General features: G+C 40.5%; 1 protein-coding gene across 21 annotated transcripts in view, besides 1 other annotated feature; it reads right to left on the bottom strand.

Annotated features, from left to right (window-relative positions):
- Positions 2930 to 3123: a silencer, noted in NCBI's record as "fragment chr15:43647073-43647266 (GRCh37/hg19 assembly coordinates)". NCBI's record gives its function as "represses an EF-1alpha promoter that drives an FKBP-Casp9 reporter gene in an ReSE screen in HepG2 liver carcinoma cells {active_cell/tissue: HepG2}" and the evidence as "EXISTENCE:reporter gene assay evidence [ECO:0000049][PMID:32094911]".
- The window catches only part of MAPDA (N6-Methyl-AMP deaminase), a 24219-nt gene continuing 10865 nt past the window's right edge, over positions 3429 to 16782 (bottom strand). For 6 of the 21 annotated variants that reach the window (XM_017021965.2, NM_001324366.2, XM_011521291.3 and 3 more), the window contains 6 exons: positions 14923 to 15004; positions 12018 to 12144; positions 10902 to 10982; positions 8953 to 9091; positions 6957 to 7057; positions 3429 to 6247 (listed from right to left, as the gene is read on the bottom strand). In XM_017021965.2, the coding sequence (XP_016877454.1) occupies positions 6053 to 6247; positions 6957 to 7057; positions 8953 to 9091; positions 10902 to 10982; positions 12018 to 12144; positions 14923 to 15004 (725 nt within the window). In that variant the 3' untranslated portion in view covers positions 3429 to 6052. Of the gene's footprint in view, positions 6248 to 6956; positions 7058 to 8582; positions 9092 to 10901; positions 10983 to 12017; positions 12145 to 14922; positions 15005 to 16782 lie in introns of those variants that run through there. The other 15 variants (XM_047432203.1, NM_001159280.3, XM_024449858.2 and 12 more) reach the window with 5 other exon arrangements.

Here is a 16782-nt window from a genome sequence, read left to right as displayed (position 1 = left end):
TGGTAAAAGGGAAATTAGAATGCAAATCCTTCCTTTGTACCTCTATCCATATCCACAATAAATTAGGACCCAAGATAACTGGGCATGCAGAGTCTTATTTTTTAAATTTTTATTTATTTTTTAGAGATAGGATCTCACTCTGTTGCCCAGGCTGGAGTGCAGTGGTGCCATCATAGGTCACTGCAGCTTCAAATTCCTGGGCTCAAGTGATCCCCAGCCTCCCCAATAGATGAGACTACAGGCATGAGCCACTATACTCAGCTAATTTTTTAAAGTTTTGTATTGATGAGGGGTCTACGTTGTCCAGGCTGGTCTTGAACTCCCAGCTTCAAGTGATCCTCCTGCCTCAGCCCCCCAAAGTGCTAGGATTACAGGCATGAGCCACAGTGACCAACTCAGCTGAGTCTTACTTTAAAAGACCCAAAACTGGCTGGGTACAGTGGCTTATGCCTGTAATCCCAGCACTTTGGGAGGCCGAGGCGGGTGGATCATGAGGTCAGGAGTTCGAGACCAGCCTGGCCAAGATGGTGAAACCTTATCTCTTCTAAAAAATACAAAAATTAGCCAGGCGCGGTGGCAGGCACCCGTAATCCCTGCTACTCGGGAGGCTGAGGCAGGAGAATCACTTGAACCCAGGAGGCGGAGTCTGCAGTGAGCCGAGATCATGCCACGGCACTCTAGCCTGGGCAACAGAGCAAGACTCCGTCTCAAAAAAAAAAAAAAAAAACAGACCCAGAACCAACCCTCCAAACTCCAGATGAAAAGAATGTGCAGTACATGCTGCCCAACCTGCCATTCCTCAGGATGGAAGCAGCAAAAAATACCTTCAAACATTCTGAGAAAGAAACCAAGCCCACTGTTGGGGGAGCAACAGCATCTCTGCACCTCTAACTTCTTAACATCTAAAGCCTTTGTGAGACAGATGGGGTGGCATGTGCAGCAAAGGAGGCAAAAAATGTGTATTAGCAGAAGCTGGATAATCCTGTTCACATCAGTTGTTTCCTTAGTGCCATTACTTTTCTTTTTCCCCATACTATCACTTTTCCTAAGTTTGTTCTCTATGGCCAATGCATAGAATGTAACATATGTTTTTGCCATTTCTCATTTATTGTAATCTGAGTGTAGACTCTGAGTCTTGTCAATGTAGTATAGCACTATTTTACACTACTTTTTTTTTTTTTTTTTTTGAGACGGAGTCTCGCTCTGTCACCCAGGCTGGAGTGCAGTGGCACGATCTCAGCTCACTGCAAGCTCCATTTCCCAGGTTCACGCCATTCTGCTGCCTCAGCCTCCCGAGTAGCTGGGACTACAGGCACCCGCCACCATGCCCGGCTACTTTTTTGTATTTTTAGTAGAGACGGGGTTTCACCGTGTTGGTGAGGATGGTCGCTATCTCCTGACCTCGTGATCCGCCTGCCTCGGCCTCCCAAAGTGCTGGGATTACAGGCGTGAGCCACCGGGTGGCGCCCAGCCTGTATAGCACTATTTTTACGGTGACCAGGTAAGAAAGGGAAGATGAGTTAAGATTGTAAAGATAGATCAGTTCTTTCCCCATTATTCAATTCAGAATCCAAAATGAAGACTTTACTCCTATACACTGAAATAGCTATGTAATGACATGCATGTCTCAAAATTTTGACATATAAAATGTTATGTAGAATTCTCTGAAACCATGGTGCTTTAAGTACCAGGTGTGTGTGTGTGTGTATTTTTTAAGAGCTTAAATTATTCCTTTCCTACCGCACCCAAGACGGTACTCTTTTAGAAACAAAACTTTGGAACAACTAGAAGTCAGGTTAAAGACTAGAAATAGAAGTCCAATGTACCTTAGAGCTCAAAAAGGCTCTGGAGAGCAGAACTTCGCTGCGGTCAAAATAAAAGAACATTAAAAAAAAAAAAAAACACATTGATTCCCAGGTGACTCAGTTCAACTTGTATAACCCAATAGATAAATCAGGGAAGTAATTTTAAAGTCTTCCATAATTAGTGAGCTCCTCAAATTATGTAAGTATAATTTAATATACAAATATTTTATTGACATCTTTCTTAAATATAGTACAGAAACCAAAGACACTCACATCATTCTACACAGTGAGGTCTATATTCCAATAACTCATGCTGTGAGTCACCGAGCACCTGAATATTTCTTAGGCCTCACATATCTCTGGATGCCCAAAGTTGGCATTTGAGAGTTGTTAACAGATAAATGCAGAAGCAACACTTACAGAGACTGGGCCAAATTCTAATGAACTTAGTGGTCTTGATGTGGAACTAGTGTAGGCAAAATGAAGCTGCATTCCAGGTCAGTCCCATAACACTTCACCTCTGGGTTCATTTGAGGTACAGATAAGACACAAGCTATATATGGTCTTAGCAACAGAGAGAGTGGAAATAGCAGCTATGTTGGTGACCAGGTAAGGTAAGCCTGGGATGGGGCTTTGAAGATGCAAATGGTACGCATGTACAGGGTTACCTGGTATTAACAGTAGGGGACAGGTGTATTTTCCAAAACGCTAGATCACTGAAGGAATCCAGGAAATAAGGTTTCAGAGGGTCTATTCCAATCTATATACACTGTATAAAGTTTTTTTAACTTTTAATCTTGATATAATTTCAAACTTACAGAAAAAGTTCCAAGAGTACAAGGAACTCCTGTATACCTGGATTCACCAACTATTTATATTTTGCCCATTTGCTTTTCATTCTCTATGTATGTGAATGTGTGTGTATATACACTTTTTTTTTTTTTTGAAACAGGGTCTCACTCTGTCGCCCAGACTGGAGTACAGTGGTCTGATCATGGCTCACTACAGCCTTGACTTCCTGGGCCCAAGCCATCCTCCTACCTCAGCTTGTTGAGTAGCTGGGAACACTGGCATGTGCCACCACACCTGGCTAGGATGTTTTTTTTTTGTAGCAATGGGGTCTCCCTATGTTCTCCAGTCTGTTTTGTTGTTTTTTTGAGACAGACTCACTCTGTTGCCCAGACTGGAGTGCAGTGGTACAATCTCAGCTCACTGCAGCCTCGAACTCCCAGGCTCAAGTGATCCTTCCACTTCAGTCTCCTGAATAGCTGGGACTACAGGCATGGGCCACCACGCTTAGTTTTTTAAAAAATATTTTTTTGCAGACGGGGTTTCCCTATGTTGCCCAGACTAGTCTGGAACTCCAGGATCCTCTTGCCTCAGCCTCCCAAAGTGCTAGGATTACAGGTGTGAGCCATGACACCTGGCCCATGTGTTTATTTTTTTTTAATTCAATATTTCACCATTAAATCTGATGTTAGCTGTAGTTTTTCATAAATGCTCTTTATCAGCCAATCCACATAAATTTTAGAACCTCAAACAAAAAAAACTTATGCCATCCCTACCCTCACTTAAGACTAGCATGACTTTTATAGTGTGAAAAGAATTTCATGATAAGGCTAATAAATTAAAATCATACACTTCAATAGCTTTTGTATAGATATTAAACAAAAAAAGGACTATAAAACTTTATAACCATATTTTCATTGAATATATTATCATGAACACTTTCAGTCATTAAAATCTGTTCTGCAACATTTTTAGTGACTGCAATAGATCCACATTTTATGAATAAACTTTGATGTTTTTACTGTGCAATTTCTGTATGAGTAGATAAGGGTAGAAAATAATATAATGCTATATATAATGCCACACAAAGCTACACACACGTATCTAAGAACTTCAAAAACCACAGAACTTCCCTCTCCCCTGTTCCTTAAAACAAAGTCTGAGCGGAAAAAACAAACTTTTTTCCTCTGCTCTCACACCACAATAAAGACAGAAAACTTCTCTGACCAAATGTGTGGAGTTTTTTCCCCACCATCAAGCAAGCAATCAATTTTGCAGCAGATACCAGCTAGGTGTCCTCCAGTTTCCCATGCTATCCCCTAGAGATGGCATTTGATCCCACAGATTGAGGGCCCAGTCCCACAAGACTGCTGCCCACTTCCAGTGCCAAGTTCAAACCCCAGGTGGTTTTACCTGTGCTTCTGACCAAACCTATAAATCAGGGTTCCCATGACCCCTCCTTGAGTTTAATTTGCTAGTAAAGCTCACAGAACTCAGGGAAACACTTAGGTTCACTGGTTTATTATAAAGGACAGTACAAAGGATAGAGATGAAGAAATGGATAGAGCAAGGCATGTGGGAAGGGACAGGGAGCTCCTATACCCTCTACCCTCTTCAGGTACAGCACCCTCTAGGGACCTCCATATGTTCAGTTACCTGGAAATGCTCCAAAATCTGTTCTTCTGGAGTTTTATGGAGGCTTCATTATGAAGGTATGATTACCACTGGTCACTGGTGATCAACTTAACCTTCAGCCCTTCTCCCAAGAGTTTGGGGGAGGACTGAAAGTCCCAACTCTAATCATGCATTTGTCTTTCCAGTGACCAGCCCCTAGGGGCTGCCAGCCAGCAGTCAACTCATTAGATACAAAAAGCCATCACTCTGGAGACTCTAAGGATTTTAGGAGCAGTATGCCAGGAAACAGGGTCAAAGACCAAATAAATACTTTACGATATCACAGAAAGACAGAAAACCTATCAGAAATCCTTAGTAATTTAAATTAGGGGTGTCATCAGCCTTAACTTCTTCTGATACCAGGGAAAAACACACATTCTAAAGAGCAAAGCAATTCAAGCATAACTTGGTATCTAATAATTTTGTTTTTGTTTTTTGTTTGTTTGTTTGTTTTTTTACCTTTCAGAACTATCTTAGTTTGTCCCTTGTCTTCAGCTGAAGTGGCCACAGTATGTGTGTTTATGTAAGCCTGCACCAGTGGTCCATTATGTAGGGGTAGGGTTACAAGAGACCCAATGAACTCTACTTAACACAATGTTGCCACTACTAGAGGTATCTTTCAGACCAAGCAGAAAGTGAGTACTAAGGTAGAAATACAGCTTCCACAAAGAAAATGTAATAAAAGCTGTTTTAAAACTGAAAGCTGCAGTGATCTGTGATCATGTCACTGCACTCCAGCCTGGGGAACAGAGTGAGAGCCTTTGTTGAAAAAAAAAAAAAAGAGAGCTGCAGCTATTTCTGTCTTTCTCACCCCTCAGCCAGTTATTCTCTCCTCTTCCAAAATTGGAGCAATGACTTCACTTTCTAGTACCGATGGGACAATCATAAAGAGGGCAAAACCAGATCTCAGCACCTAGCTTTATCTGTCACTACGGTCATCCCTAGGCATTCACATAAATCCCTGGTATACAATGTGGCCTGGTGTCAATGGTCTTGGGATCTTGGAGAATACTTTTCTTTTTCTTGAAACAGGGTTTCACTCTGTTGCCCAGGCTGGAGTGCTGTAGCATCACAGCTCACTGCAGCCTCAAACATCCCTGGGATCAGGTCTCCTCCCACCTTAGCCTCCCTGGTGGCTGGGACTACAGGTGTGTACCACCGTGCCTGACTAATTTCCGGTTTTTTGTTTTTTTGTTTTTGTAGAGACAGGGTTTCTCCATGTTGCCTAGGCTGCTACTGAACTCCTAGGATCAAGCAATCTGCCCACTTTGGCTTCCCAAAGTGCTGGGATTACAGGCATGAGCCATCACATCCGGCTGGGGAATACTTTTAAAAACTTAAAGCGAGTGAAGGGAGTCTGATTAAAGTATGCACAATAAAATATAAAGCTGTTTAGAAGGCTTAAAGGTCTCGGCAGTAACCTAATTTCCCCACTTTCCTAACTTTATACTAGTAATTCCAAAACATTTCCTGATGAGAAACTTCGATTTCCCTGAAATTTTATGATCACTAATAGGGAAGGACTGCTGAGTCACAATAATCACTGGTGGAATGGGGATTTAATTAGCAACAACAGTCAAGTCCCACCCAGTAAGCACCTGAGAGCTTGTGAGTCAGTTGAAGACACGTATTTACTGAGTACCTGCCATGTGTAAGGTGCTGGTGATAGAGCCCAAGGAACTTGGTTGCTATGCTTCAAAGGAGTGGTGGACTGTTTTACTAAGTGGGATATGGCAGGAACTTGATTGAAACACATACTCAGAAGTAGTTCACCTCATTATAGCTTAAATATGTAACACTCTGGGCTTCAGGTGATTCCATTTCTTCCTCAGTTCAGATCTGGTGCTGTCAGAAGCAAAGATGTAGTTGATGGATTCATAAGACAGATCCCACACCTGAGACTGGGTCAAATTAAATGTTTCAGCTGCCAGCTGGTACTCTTGAGAAAGGTGTGTTGCAAAAACACCCTTATCATCAGTCTGCCAACGTAAACAAGAATGTTTCAAAATGAAAAAGGAAGGATTTTTCAAAAACAACCATCTTTTTGTTTAGAGTCTATTTTCCTATTTACTATGCTTCTTTCAAGAGTCTAAACAAGGGCCTACAAATTTATCTATGCATAGCTGTAACTAAACAGATTTATTTATACTTAAGAAAAGATACCAGAGCAGTGTTTCAACTCTGGCTGGATATTAAAATTACCTAAGGAGCTTTTAAAGCCTATCTCTGCCCAGGACTCACCCCAGATCAAATAAAACAGAATCTCATGGGATGGGTGCAGAGCATCAGTTTTTTTGTTTGTTTTTAAGTCCTCTCAAGTACCTTTTGCTAGAGAGCCAAACCAGAGTCACCCTGGCCCTCTGTAGCCTCTCATGTCCCAGTCCCTTTTTTTTTTTGCTTTGTGAGATGGAGTTTCACTCTTGTTGCCCAAGATGGAGTGCAATGGCATGATCTCTGCTCACTGCAACCTCCTCCTCCTGGGTTCAAGTGATTCTCCTGCCTTAGTCTCCCGAGTAGCTGGGATTACAGGTGTGCGCCACCATACTCAGCCACACCCCGGTCCCTTCTAACTCCTCTACTTGGGCATTATCCTCAGGCATGCAAGGCAGTCAGCTAGATAGTGAACATCTGAATTAATGCAACTCAGGGAGCAAAAAGGAGCAAAATACTTCACACGGAACACCTTACACAGATCACAGAAGGATGGGCAATGCTGTACCAGAATCCGAAATGGTGCTGGTCATAAGATGGAACTGTCTGACTTTTGACGTTTGAGGTCAAACAGAGTTCTAGATGAAAAGGGGAAAAAAACCTCTTATTAAAAGCAAATAAGTGAACTCATTCAGTGTTCACCAAGTAGACACGAGAAATATTTCCAAATTTTGCTAATTTAAAGTAGTTTATTAGTTTACAAAGTCGACCTTTCCTTACGTGTGAAAATTTGTAGTTCAATTACTGTAGTTGTACAGGAAGCATGTGGTGCAACTTATGGCAACAGAGGTACCAGGCAAGGAATTAATATCCCTTTTACAGCCATGCACTTCTCCTTCTTTGACCAAAATAGAGAGGAAAGAGGAATGTCATGATGAAAAAAGCAGAGAATTATCAATGATAGGAGCAGAAGGGTTTTTTGAAAAGCTACTGCAATCCCTCCTGGTCTAATGGTGGAAGCCAAAACAAAGGTAAGAAAACTGTAGCACCAGGTGTGAGAGCATTATAAAGAGCTAAGAATGAGCAGAGACTTTGCCATGGCTTCTAAGAACCCCTAAACGCTTTTACCCAGATAATCATCCATTCACCTCCTTCTGCTTCTAGGTAAGTTAAGTCCATCTTAAGAATGACTCCTACTATTGGCCGGGCATGGTGACTCACGCCTGTAATCCCAGCAATTTGGGAGGCCAAGGTGGGTGGATGATGAGGTCAGGAGATCGAGACCATCCTGGCTAACACAGTGAAACCCCATCTCTACTAAAAAAATACAAAAAAAAAAAAAAAAATTAGCTGGGCGTGGTGGCAGGCGCCTGTTGTCCCAGCTACTCAGGAGGCTGGGGAAGGAGAATGTCGTGAACCCAGGATGTGGAGCTTGCAGTGAGCTATCGCGCCACTGCACTCCAGCCTGGGTGACAGAGCGACTCCGTCCCCCGCCCCCCAAAAAAAAGAGTGACTCCTATTATTAACAAATTCCTTCCTGGAAATATTACCAGGCTCCCCAGCCAGAGTAAAATACCTTACTGACTTGATTGATGGTATCTGCTCACTTGAGTAAGGCAGCCTCAACACAGGCTCACTCAGTTTAACGGATGACAAACCCAAGCTGCCCCCTCTGTTGGGAGCAGAGCTAGGCCACCACACCAAGTAAGATCACTATGCCAGTGGTTCCCATTCTCTCCACTTTTGTGGATATTTAAAATTTTCCTTAGCAAATCTAGCCCATTATGAATTGCTGAAAACTCTATAGTTAAAACATACTCACACAAGCATTTTTATAAATTGGTAAATATAGCAAATTGATCATTCTGTAAAATAGTTTGCAGCCAACCACTTTTTCCTTCTTTAGAAAGGCCTTTCCTAACCATCCAATCAAAAGTGGTTATACAATCACTACTATATCAGCCTGTTTAATTTTCTTCACAGAACACTGATACTTTCTTGTATATTTGTTTACTGTCTTCCCTCTGCTAGAATATGAGTTTCTTGGGAAAGAAATCTTGCCTGTTTTGTGTACTGCTCTATCGACAGCAATGACAACAAAGTAGGCACTTCATAAACACATAGACAATCAAGTGTGTAATGATCAACAGACATGTGAAAATATACTTGGGATTTTCCATGTTTAATTTTTAAATAATGTTACATATTTTCATAACACATGTCAATTTTGTTAAAGTCATTTTAAAATTCTAGATGACCCTTTATTCCTTTAAAAAATTCTTATTGAGTTCCAAGCATTGGAGAATGTAACAACGAATAAGACAAGCAGGGGCCCTGCTCTCATAGAGCTTATATTCTAATGGAAGCTAAAGCTTTCTGTTTTAAATAAGGCTCAGAAAGCACACACTCCATCTTTTAATAGCTAGATGACATTCGTACTTTTAGAACAGTACTTCTCTGTAATCCCCAGGCAACCTGGGGATTGGGGGAGAGACAGAGAGTCATCTGGAAGACCTGAAACTCCAAGCCTTACCCAGTGGTATCCGATGTTGCCTCACAAAGTCCACCAGATCCAGGGATCCTCCCTCACCGGAGTTGAGAAATGTTCCATGCCCGATTCTGTCAGGAAGCAGATCCAGGAGTATTTGTGTTTCTTTTTTTTGGTTTGGAATCTAAAGAAAGGGGAGGAAAGGGGATCAATGGCCTCTTTCAGTGGTTCTTAAGAGTATTTTTTTCTATAGCTAGGTACCCTGCCCCTCTAAGTAGTACTTAATGCAGACCTTTTGGAAAACTGAACTACTTCTGCCTTCCTAGCTCTTTGCCTTTTATCTTCTCATTCTTTCCTCAATATTCTTCTAGATTCATTTCAATGATAATAATAAACACTTATTAAGAACCTACTTTGTGCCTTTTCACACAAATGATTTAAGGCCTCACAAGAATCTTAAAAAGTATTAAGATGAAGAAATTAAAGCTGAGAAAAATTAAGTAATTTTCAAAAAATAAAACTTCACAACTCCATATGTATATGTGTGTTCCGTTATAGACATGTGTTCATATATATTATAAAAAGTTCTGAAAAACTATAAACACAAAACTGTTAATAGTATTAACTCTGGGGAGCAAAACAAATAGAAATTGGGCTTTTAATTTTTAATTATTTTCCTTCTTGACACTTGGATTTTTTTCAGGTATACATAACTCTTATAGTTAAAAATATAAGGGATTTTTTAAAAAAAGTTGTCCAAGGTCATAGAGCTAGTGAATGGTAGAGATAAGCGTGAAACCTAACTCAATCTGACTCCAGGGCCCAGTTACTTTCCTCACATAGTGTGCTCATCATGTTTGATTCTGACAAGGCTGGCTATGTACATACCACAATCACCATGAAAATGTCTGGCTGTGCTCTTTATCTCCTAGATAGCCCAAAACACAAATGCTCAGAACATTTTTAAATGAAATCTTTTATATCCAATGGACTGGATGATAAAAGCAACAGAAACTAAGGTAAAGAACAAGTTCTGATGTTGCACACAAGGCCAGAGATAACTGGTCACTGTCACACATGCTATTCCCTTATAATGACCAATGGTTTCTATCACACATCAGTTAGGTCAGCCATAGGATGTCCTGTGGATGAAAGGTCTTTTGAGTTAAGAGTGTGGAAACATAGATTCTAGATTTTAAGTCCTGCCACTAGATTACTGACCTTCTGCTTATAGACATGAAAGATACAAGTACTGGCAAGGGGTTCTGATTTTTTTCCCTAATCTTTAAATCATGATGTTACTCAACCTTTATACATTACCCCTTTAATACAATAACTGTGAGGTAAGTAGACTAAGTATTATTTTCTGCATTTAAGAAATAATTAAATAGCTAGAAGTACTGAGGTAAAAAATACATCCATTTATAAAATGGGGAAAATTGCAGCAAAGTCCCTCAAAAGGGGTTTGCCTCATAAGGATGTGCTTAAGAAAGTGACTACTTCCCAGCAATTATCTGTTACTACGTTCATGCTAACAGTGAGCTTGGGGCTGATGAGGGGCACTGGACCTCTTTGCTGGGCTTTGAAAAATGACGAGCTGCTTCCTTTACTGCCAGTGGATGTGATACAATCAGGTCCCTTCTACTATGAGGACAGGTGAGATAAATTGGTGCTTTTCTTAGAGTCAGCTTGCCAATGACAAGACTGATGTTGGAAATTCATGCATTTTCTCTAGCAAGACGTCATTAAACTGCTTTTAATGACACAGCTGGCATTTGAGTCAACAGCCACTCCCAGGAACCACAAAAGGATAAAAACAGTAACAGTAGAGACTGAAGCAAGTCATGTATTTTTAAATTTAGATGTAAAAATATTTCTACTTTCCCTTTTTAAAAAATGTTTTTCCAATCCCGGTTTATTCCTAGTCACTTACAAATGACCCTATTATTTTCTATTACAATCTGTCCCTTCTAGCCTAAGACAATATTATTTACCTCTGAAAGATGCAATGCTAACTTCAGACCTGCTTTCTTAGCTTCTAAAAGAGGTTCCAAGAAGTCTTTTGCTTGTCCTACCTTAAAGATAAAAGTTAAAATAAGGATGCATGAGAATTCTGGGAAAACTGAGGAACTGAGTACTCCATTCCAATAAACAACATAATGGCAGAAAAAAATAATGGTAGATTAATTCATTTGCACATCTTGTTTATAAAGCACCTACAATGTGCGAGCCACTTCACTGAATACAAAGCTGGCAAAGGCACAGTTCCTGCCCTCGAGAATCTTGTCTAGTATCAGTAAACTGAGGTCAATCAGCTAAGCTGGATATAGTAGTCACCAAATTTTATGCCTGGAAGGACACCTAGATATCCAGAGCTAAGGAGAACTCACTCACTTGACTCAGGAACTCTCATGATTACTCAAAACACTTCCGTTAAACAGGTGGATAAAAAGAAGGGCAGAATACTCCAGGTTTGGACAAAGCCATAAGAATCAATTTCATGGGACTCTCTTATTCAGCTGTTTTCAACCAGGAGCAATTCTGCCCCCCAGGGGACACTTGGCAATGTCTGGAGACATTTTTGGTTGTCATATCTGGGAGAGTGCTACTGGCATCTAGTGGGTAGAGGCCAAGGATGCTGCTAAACATCCTACAATGCATGGGGCAGCCCCACAACAAATTATCCAGCCCCGAATATCAAGATTTCTGCTTGAATCTGACATTCAAGAAGCTCAAGTCAACATTTCTCAACTATCTATGAGACAGTTAAGCCCTAATACCCTAAGACATCCATCCATTGTATGTAATGAATTACATTATAGTGCATATAGTCTGGGACTAGTTGTGCACCATCTTTAGAAGAATGGAGAAAATAGTCATATAGTCAGGCAACTCTTTTTTTTTCTTTTAGGGTACTTAATTGTTTCACAGAACCTTGGATGAGAGCTGCTCTAGGCATTCTGGTCATCCAGGGCAGAACAGGCCTTCATCCACAGAATGGAGTGTCTGTTGGACACTCTGGAGAATGCAATGCAAGATGCCCGAAGCTAGTCCTTATCCCACTGATTCTACCTTTTAGAATTAAAATGTACGTAGGAAAAATAACTTACAGTAGGGTCTCCACTGAGGTCAAGGCCAAGAACTGTACCCTCAGTAGAAAGGAAGAACTCCTCGGCAAGTTTTACAGTCTCCTTGGCTACTAAAGGGCCACCTCTTCTGTCAACTGCTATCAAATACCTTTAATGTAAGAAAGACAGAGTTGAAAACTAATATGACACAGATGAAAAAGACAATTCTGAGTACAGCCAGACAGAGATGGCAGACTACGTGTAATACATCTCACTAGGAAAAGTATAGCCTGACTGAATCTAGACAACATGACATTTTACTTTGTCATACGGACTGAGACATGAATTCCTAAATAGCATCAAGCATCCAGTCACTGTTCAGATTTACAGTTGTCTTTCGAGGTTTTTTTGTTCCTGTATTTGTTTCTTCAGTTTGTTTGATTCAGGATCCAAACAAGGTCCACACTTTGTGTAAGTCAATGTATCTTCTAAGCCTCTCTTAATCTACAACCACTCTTTCCTCTCCTCCCACCTCCCACCCTGCTTTTCTTGTAACTTATTTGTTGAAGAAACCAAGTTGTTTGTCCTACAAAGTTTTCCATGGTCTGGATTTTGTTGATTGTATCCTGTGTTGTTAACATGTTGTCCTATTTTTTTTTTTTTTTTTTGAGATGGAATCTCACTCTGTCGCCCAGGCTGGAGTGCAATGGTGCAATCTCGGGCTCACTACAATCTCTGCCTCCCGGGTCCAAGCGATTCTCCTGCCTCAGTCACCCGAGTAGCTGGGGTTATAGGCACGTGCCACCACGCCCGGCTAATTTTTTGTATTTTTAGTAGAGACGGAGTTTCACCGTGTTAGCCAAGATGGTCTCGATCTCCTGACCTCATGATCCGCCCGCCTCAGCCTCCCAAAGTGCTGGGATTACAGGCGTGAACCACCATGCCCAGCCTTTAACATGTTGTCCTATTTCTTACATTTCCTGTCTAGTCCAGAGGCAGATCAGGTTCCATTTTTTGGCAAGAGTAAACTGGTGGTGGTGTGTTCTTAGGAGGGTGAGATCCATTATTTCATTAGGGGGTTACAAAATTAGAAATATTCTCTTTCTAAAATGTATCAAATATCTGATAAAAGTTCATTCCTCAAATATCAGCTGGAATTCTATAAGACTTGAATACCCAGAGAATCTCTGTTAATATTTCTTTTTTTTTTTTTTTTGAGACAGAATTTCATTCTTGTCACCCAGGCTGGAGTGAAATGGCACGATCTCAGCTCACTGCAACCTCCACCTCCCGGGTTCAAGCAATTCTGCCTCAGCCTTCTGAGTAGCTGAGATTACAGGTGCCTGCCACCACACCTGGCTAATTTTTGTATTTTTAGTAGAGATGGAGTTTCATCATGTTGGCCAGGGTGGTCTCCAACTCCTGACCTCAGGTGATCTGCCCATGTTGGCCTCCCAAAGTTCTGGGATTACAGGCATGAGCCACTGTGCTTGGCCTGTTAATATTTCTTGAATACCCAGAGAACCCCTATAATTTTTTAAAGCAGTTATGAGTTTACTATTTATTGACGAAATAAATTCCTTTAGCATTTGTTCATTTATTTATTTACAAAATTTAGATCAACTACATATAAAATGCTGTATCTTTTTTTTTCACTTAGCAACTTCCCATGCCATTAAAATAATGTTAGAAAATAGTATAAATCATATGAGCATACCATAATGTAATTATCCTCTGAATGCTGGATATTTTAAGCTATTTTCTAATTTTTGTTATAAATAACATTATAATAAGGAATCTTATGCATAAATCAATCTATTTCCTGGGATGCATTTCTAGCACAGAATTACTGTGTCAGAGGGAAAAACTTTTTTATAAATCTTGACATATATTGCTCTTTAGAGAGGTTTTTCCCCCCTTACCTGTGTACCAGTGCAGGATTTAAAGAGGTTTTATTAATTACATATGCTTACCAGCAGTGTGTAACTTACAAACACTGGCTATTACTTTTTTTAGCCTACTGAAACAGTATTGTAATATATGATTAATGAATTAAGTAGTTTTCTCTGTATTTCTATATGTCTACCAGCTCTTTGTATGTCTTCTTCTCTGCATTCTATTGTCTTCTGCTTGGTTTTTTATTGGGGTTATTACTTAAGCTTAATTTTTAGAGTCTTATAGCCTGAAACTATACAGCTAGCTTTTTTTCTTTCTTCATTTAGGGCTTTACTGAGCCCATACTATGTACCTACTTTGTGGTAAGTACTAAAGATGTAGTGGTGAATCAAAAAACAAGGTCCTTGGCTTCACTACACTTACACCCTAGTGGGTGGGCATATATACAAACTAACACAAGATAATTCCTAATCTTGTTACAAATAATGCCATAAAGGAAATAGATGGGTGACTAGAGGATTAGTAGGGCACTTTAGACAGAGTGGTAAAGGAAGGCCCCTCTGAGGAAGTAACAGCCAATTGAGATCTGAATAATGAGAAGAAGCCAGCCAGCTGGGCAGGAATCTGGTAGAAATGTGTTCTGGGGAATACTAAACAAAGGTGCTGAAGGGGAACAGTCTTTTTTGCTTATTTTAGGAACAGACAGCAGGCCCACGTGTAAGGGAGGAGGAGTGGTCTAGATGAGCTGCTGAAGTAACAGAGGCAGCCAGATCATGTGGGACCTTGTAGGCCACAGTAAGAAGTTCATTTTAGCTTAATGGCAAAGGAACACCATACTTTACTCATGTAAAAATACTCAGAATTTTATTGCCTTATGAATAAACTCAGAATTGTGTTCTCACTTTAAACAACAGGGTCCTTGATTTTATTTTTCTATTGTATAAATCAATGAATGATTAATTTTAAAAAATCCATTACACCCATGATCAAAACAGTAAAAATTCACATTCTGGTTTTGTAAATGTTAACTACTAAGGTACAATCTTCTTACCTAACATCAATGTCCAAGTTTTCTTGTTTGGACTGTTTTATACCTTCAAGTATAGATTCCACATAAGTCTTTTTAGTCATTCCTAGAAAGGACACATAGAAAATACATGTAAAGAGATCATCAACTATTTCATCCCTCACCTTCAGCAATCCTATATGAACAATTACATTTTCACTTTATGCTATGACAAGGGCATAGTTAAAGATGAGTGAAAACATGGCCCTTATGGGTATATTTTAGTAAATGCAAATTATATTTTAATAAAATTAGGGGGAAATGAAGTGTTAGAGAAATGAAATGAAAAAAAATAAAGGCTTTTTTTTTTTTTGAGACAGGGTCTGGCTGTCACCCAGGCTGGAGTGCAGTGGCATGATCTTGCCTCACTGCAACCTTTGTCTCCTGAGCTCAAGCCATCCTGCCACCTCAGCCTCCTGAGTAGCTGAGACTACAGGAAGGTACCACCACGCCCAGCTAGTTTTTGGATATTTAGTAGAGACGGGGTTTTGCTATGTTGCCCAAGCTGGTCTCAAACTCCTGGGCTGAAAGTGACACGCCCGCCTTGGCCTCCCAAAGTGCTGGGATTACAGGTATGAGCCACTACACTTGTCCTTTTTTTTTTTTTTTTTTTTAAAAGGGATATTTTCTCTCCTCCTAGTCCAGAAAAAAAGTCCTAACTTGGATTCCTTTCCCCTCAATCCTGCTCGGGCTTAGTGTTTCTCATCCAGGGAACCAGGCATGTTCTTCCAAGTCTGAGTGCTCTGCTCTCTGAGGGGATCTGCAAGAGCACTCTCCAGAGCAACCTCCTGTAAAATACCTTTTTTTCTTTTTCTTTAGGCTACATTGGGTAAAATAAAATACCCTTTTACCCGGATTATAAAATGCTTATGTTTGGTGGAAAGTCTCTGGTAAAATATATAAAATTATAAATAAAAATAAAAATAGGGTGTGGTGGCTCATGCCTGTAATCCCATCAGTTTCGGAGGCCGAGGCGGGCCGATCACCTGAGGTCAGGAGTTCGAGACCACCCTGGCCAACATGGTGAAATCCTGTCTCTACTAAAAATATGAAAATGAGCCAAGTGTGGTGGCATGTGCCTATAATCCCTGCTACTCGGGAGGCTGAGGCAGGAGAATCACTTGAACCTTGGAGGCGGAGGTTGCAGTGGGCCAAGATCCCACCACTGCACTCCAGTCTGGGTGACGAGCAAGACTCCGTCTCAAAAAAAATAAATAAATAAAAATAACCCCACCACCCAGAGATAACTACTGTTTTCCAAGTACACATATACACATTTATTTTTATGTATTATTTCAAGAGACCTTTTTTAAGGTCTCTCTCTGTTGCTCAGGCTGGAGGGCAGTGGCACGATCATGGTTCACTGCAGCCCTTGGAGCCCATAGAGGTGGGGGGGGTCTTATGATGCTGCCCAGGCTGGTCTCGAACTTCTGGCGTCAAGTGATCCTCCTGCCTCAGCCTCCCAAAGCGCTGGAATTACAGGCATGAGCCACTGCACTCTGCCCATATACACATTTTTAAATAGAGAAGATACTACTAGGTATATATGTACCCAGTTCAGTCATTTAACATGAGTCCGAGTATTTCCCCATGTCATTAAAGTGTCTTCACCAGTATTTTTAATGGTTGCCTAATATTCCATTAGCCTTTATTTAACCATTCCTCTACTGTTGCATATTTAGGTTAATATCCTTCTTTTAAAACTCCATTGAAAGAGCCCTATGAGTTGGCTCTTCTCTCCTTCCCTTTCACTACTCTCACCAGTACAACGTGGAACTGATTCTATGGTTCAAAAATGCAAGATGAGAGCCTTCTCCTTATCTTATGTAAACACTTATACTTTAC

This window comes from Homo sapiens, chromosome 15 (assembly GCF_000001405.40).
Source record: "Homo sapiens chromosome 15, GRCh38.p14 Primary Assembly".
Taxonomy (NCBI): Eukaryota; Metazoa; Chordata; class Mammalia; order Primates; family Hominidae; genus Homo; species Homo sapiens.
This window is presented reverse-complemented; position numbering and strand designations above follow the sequence as displayed.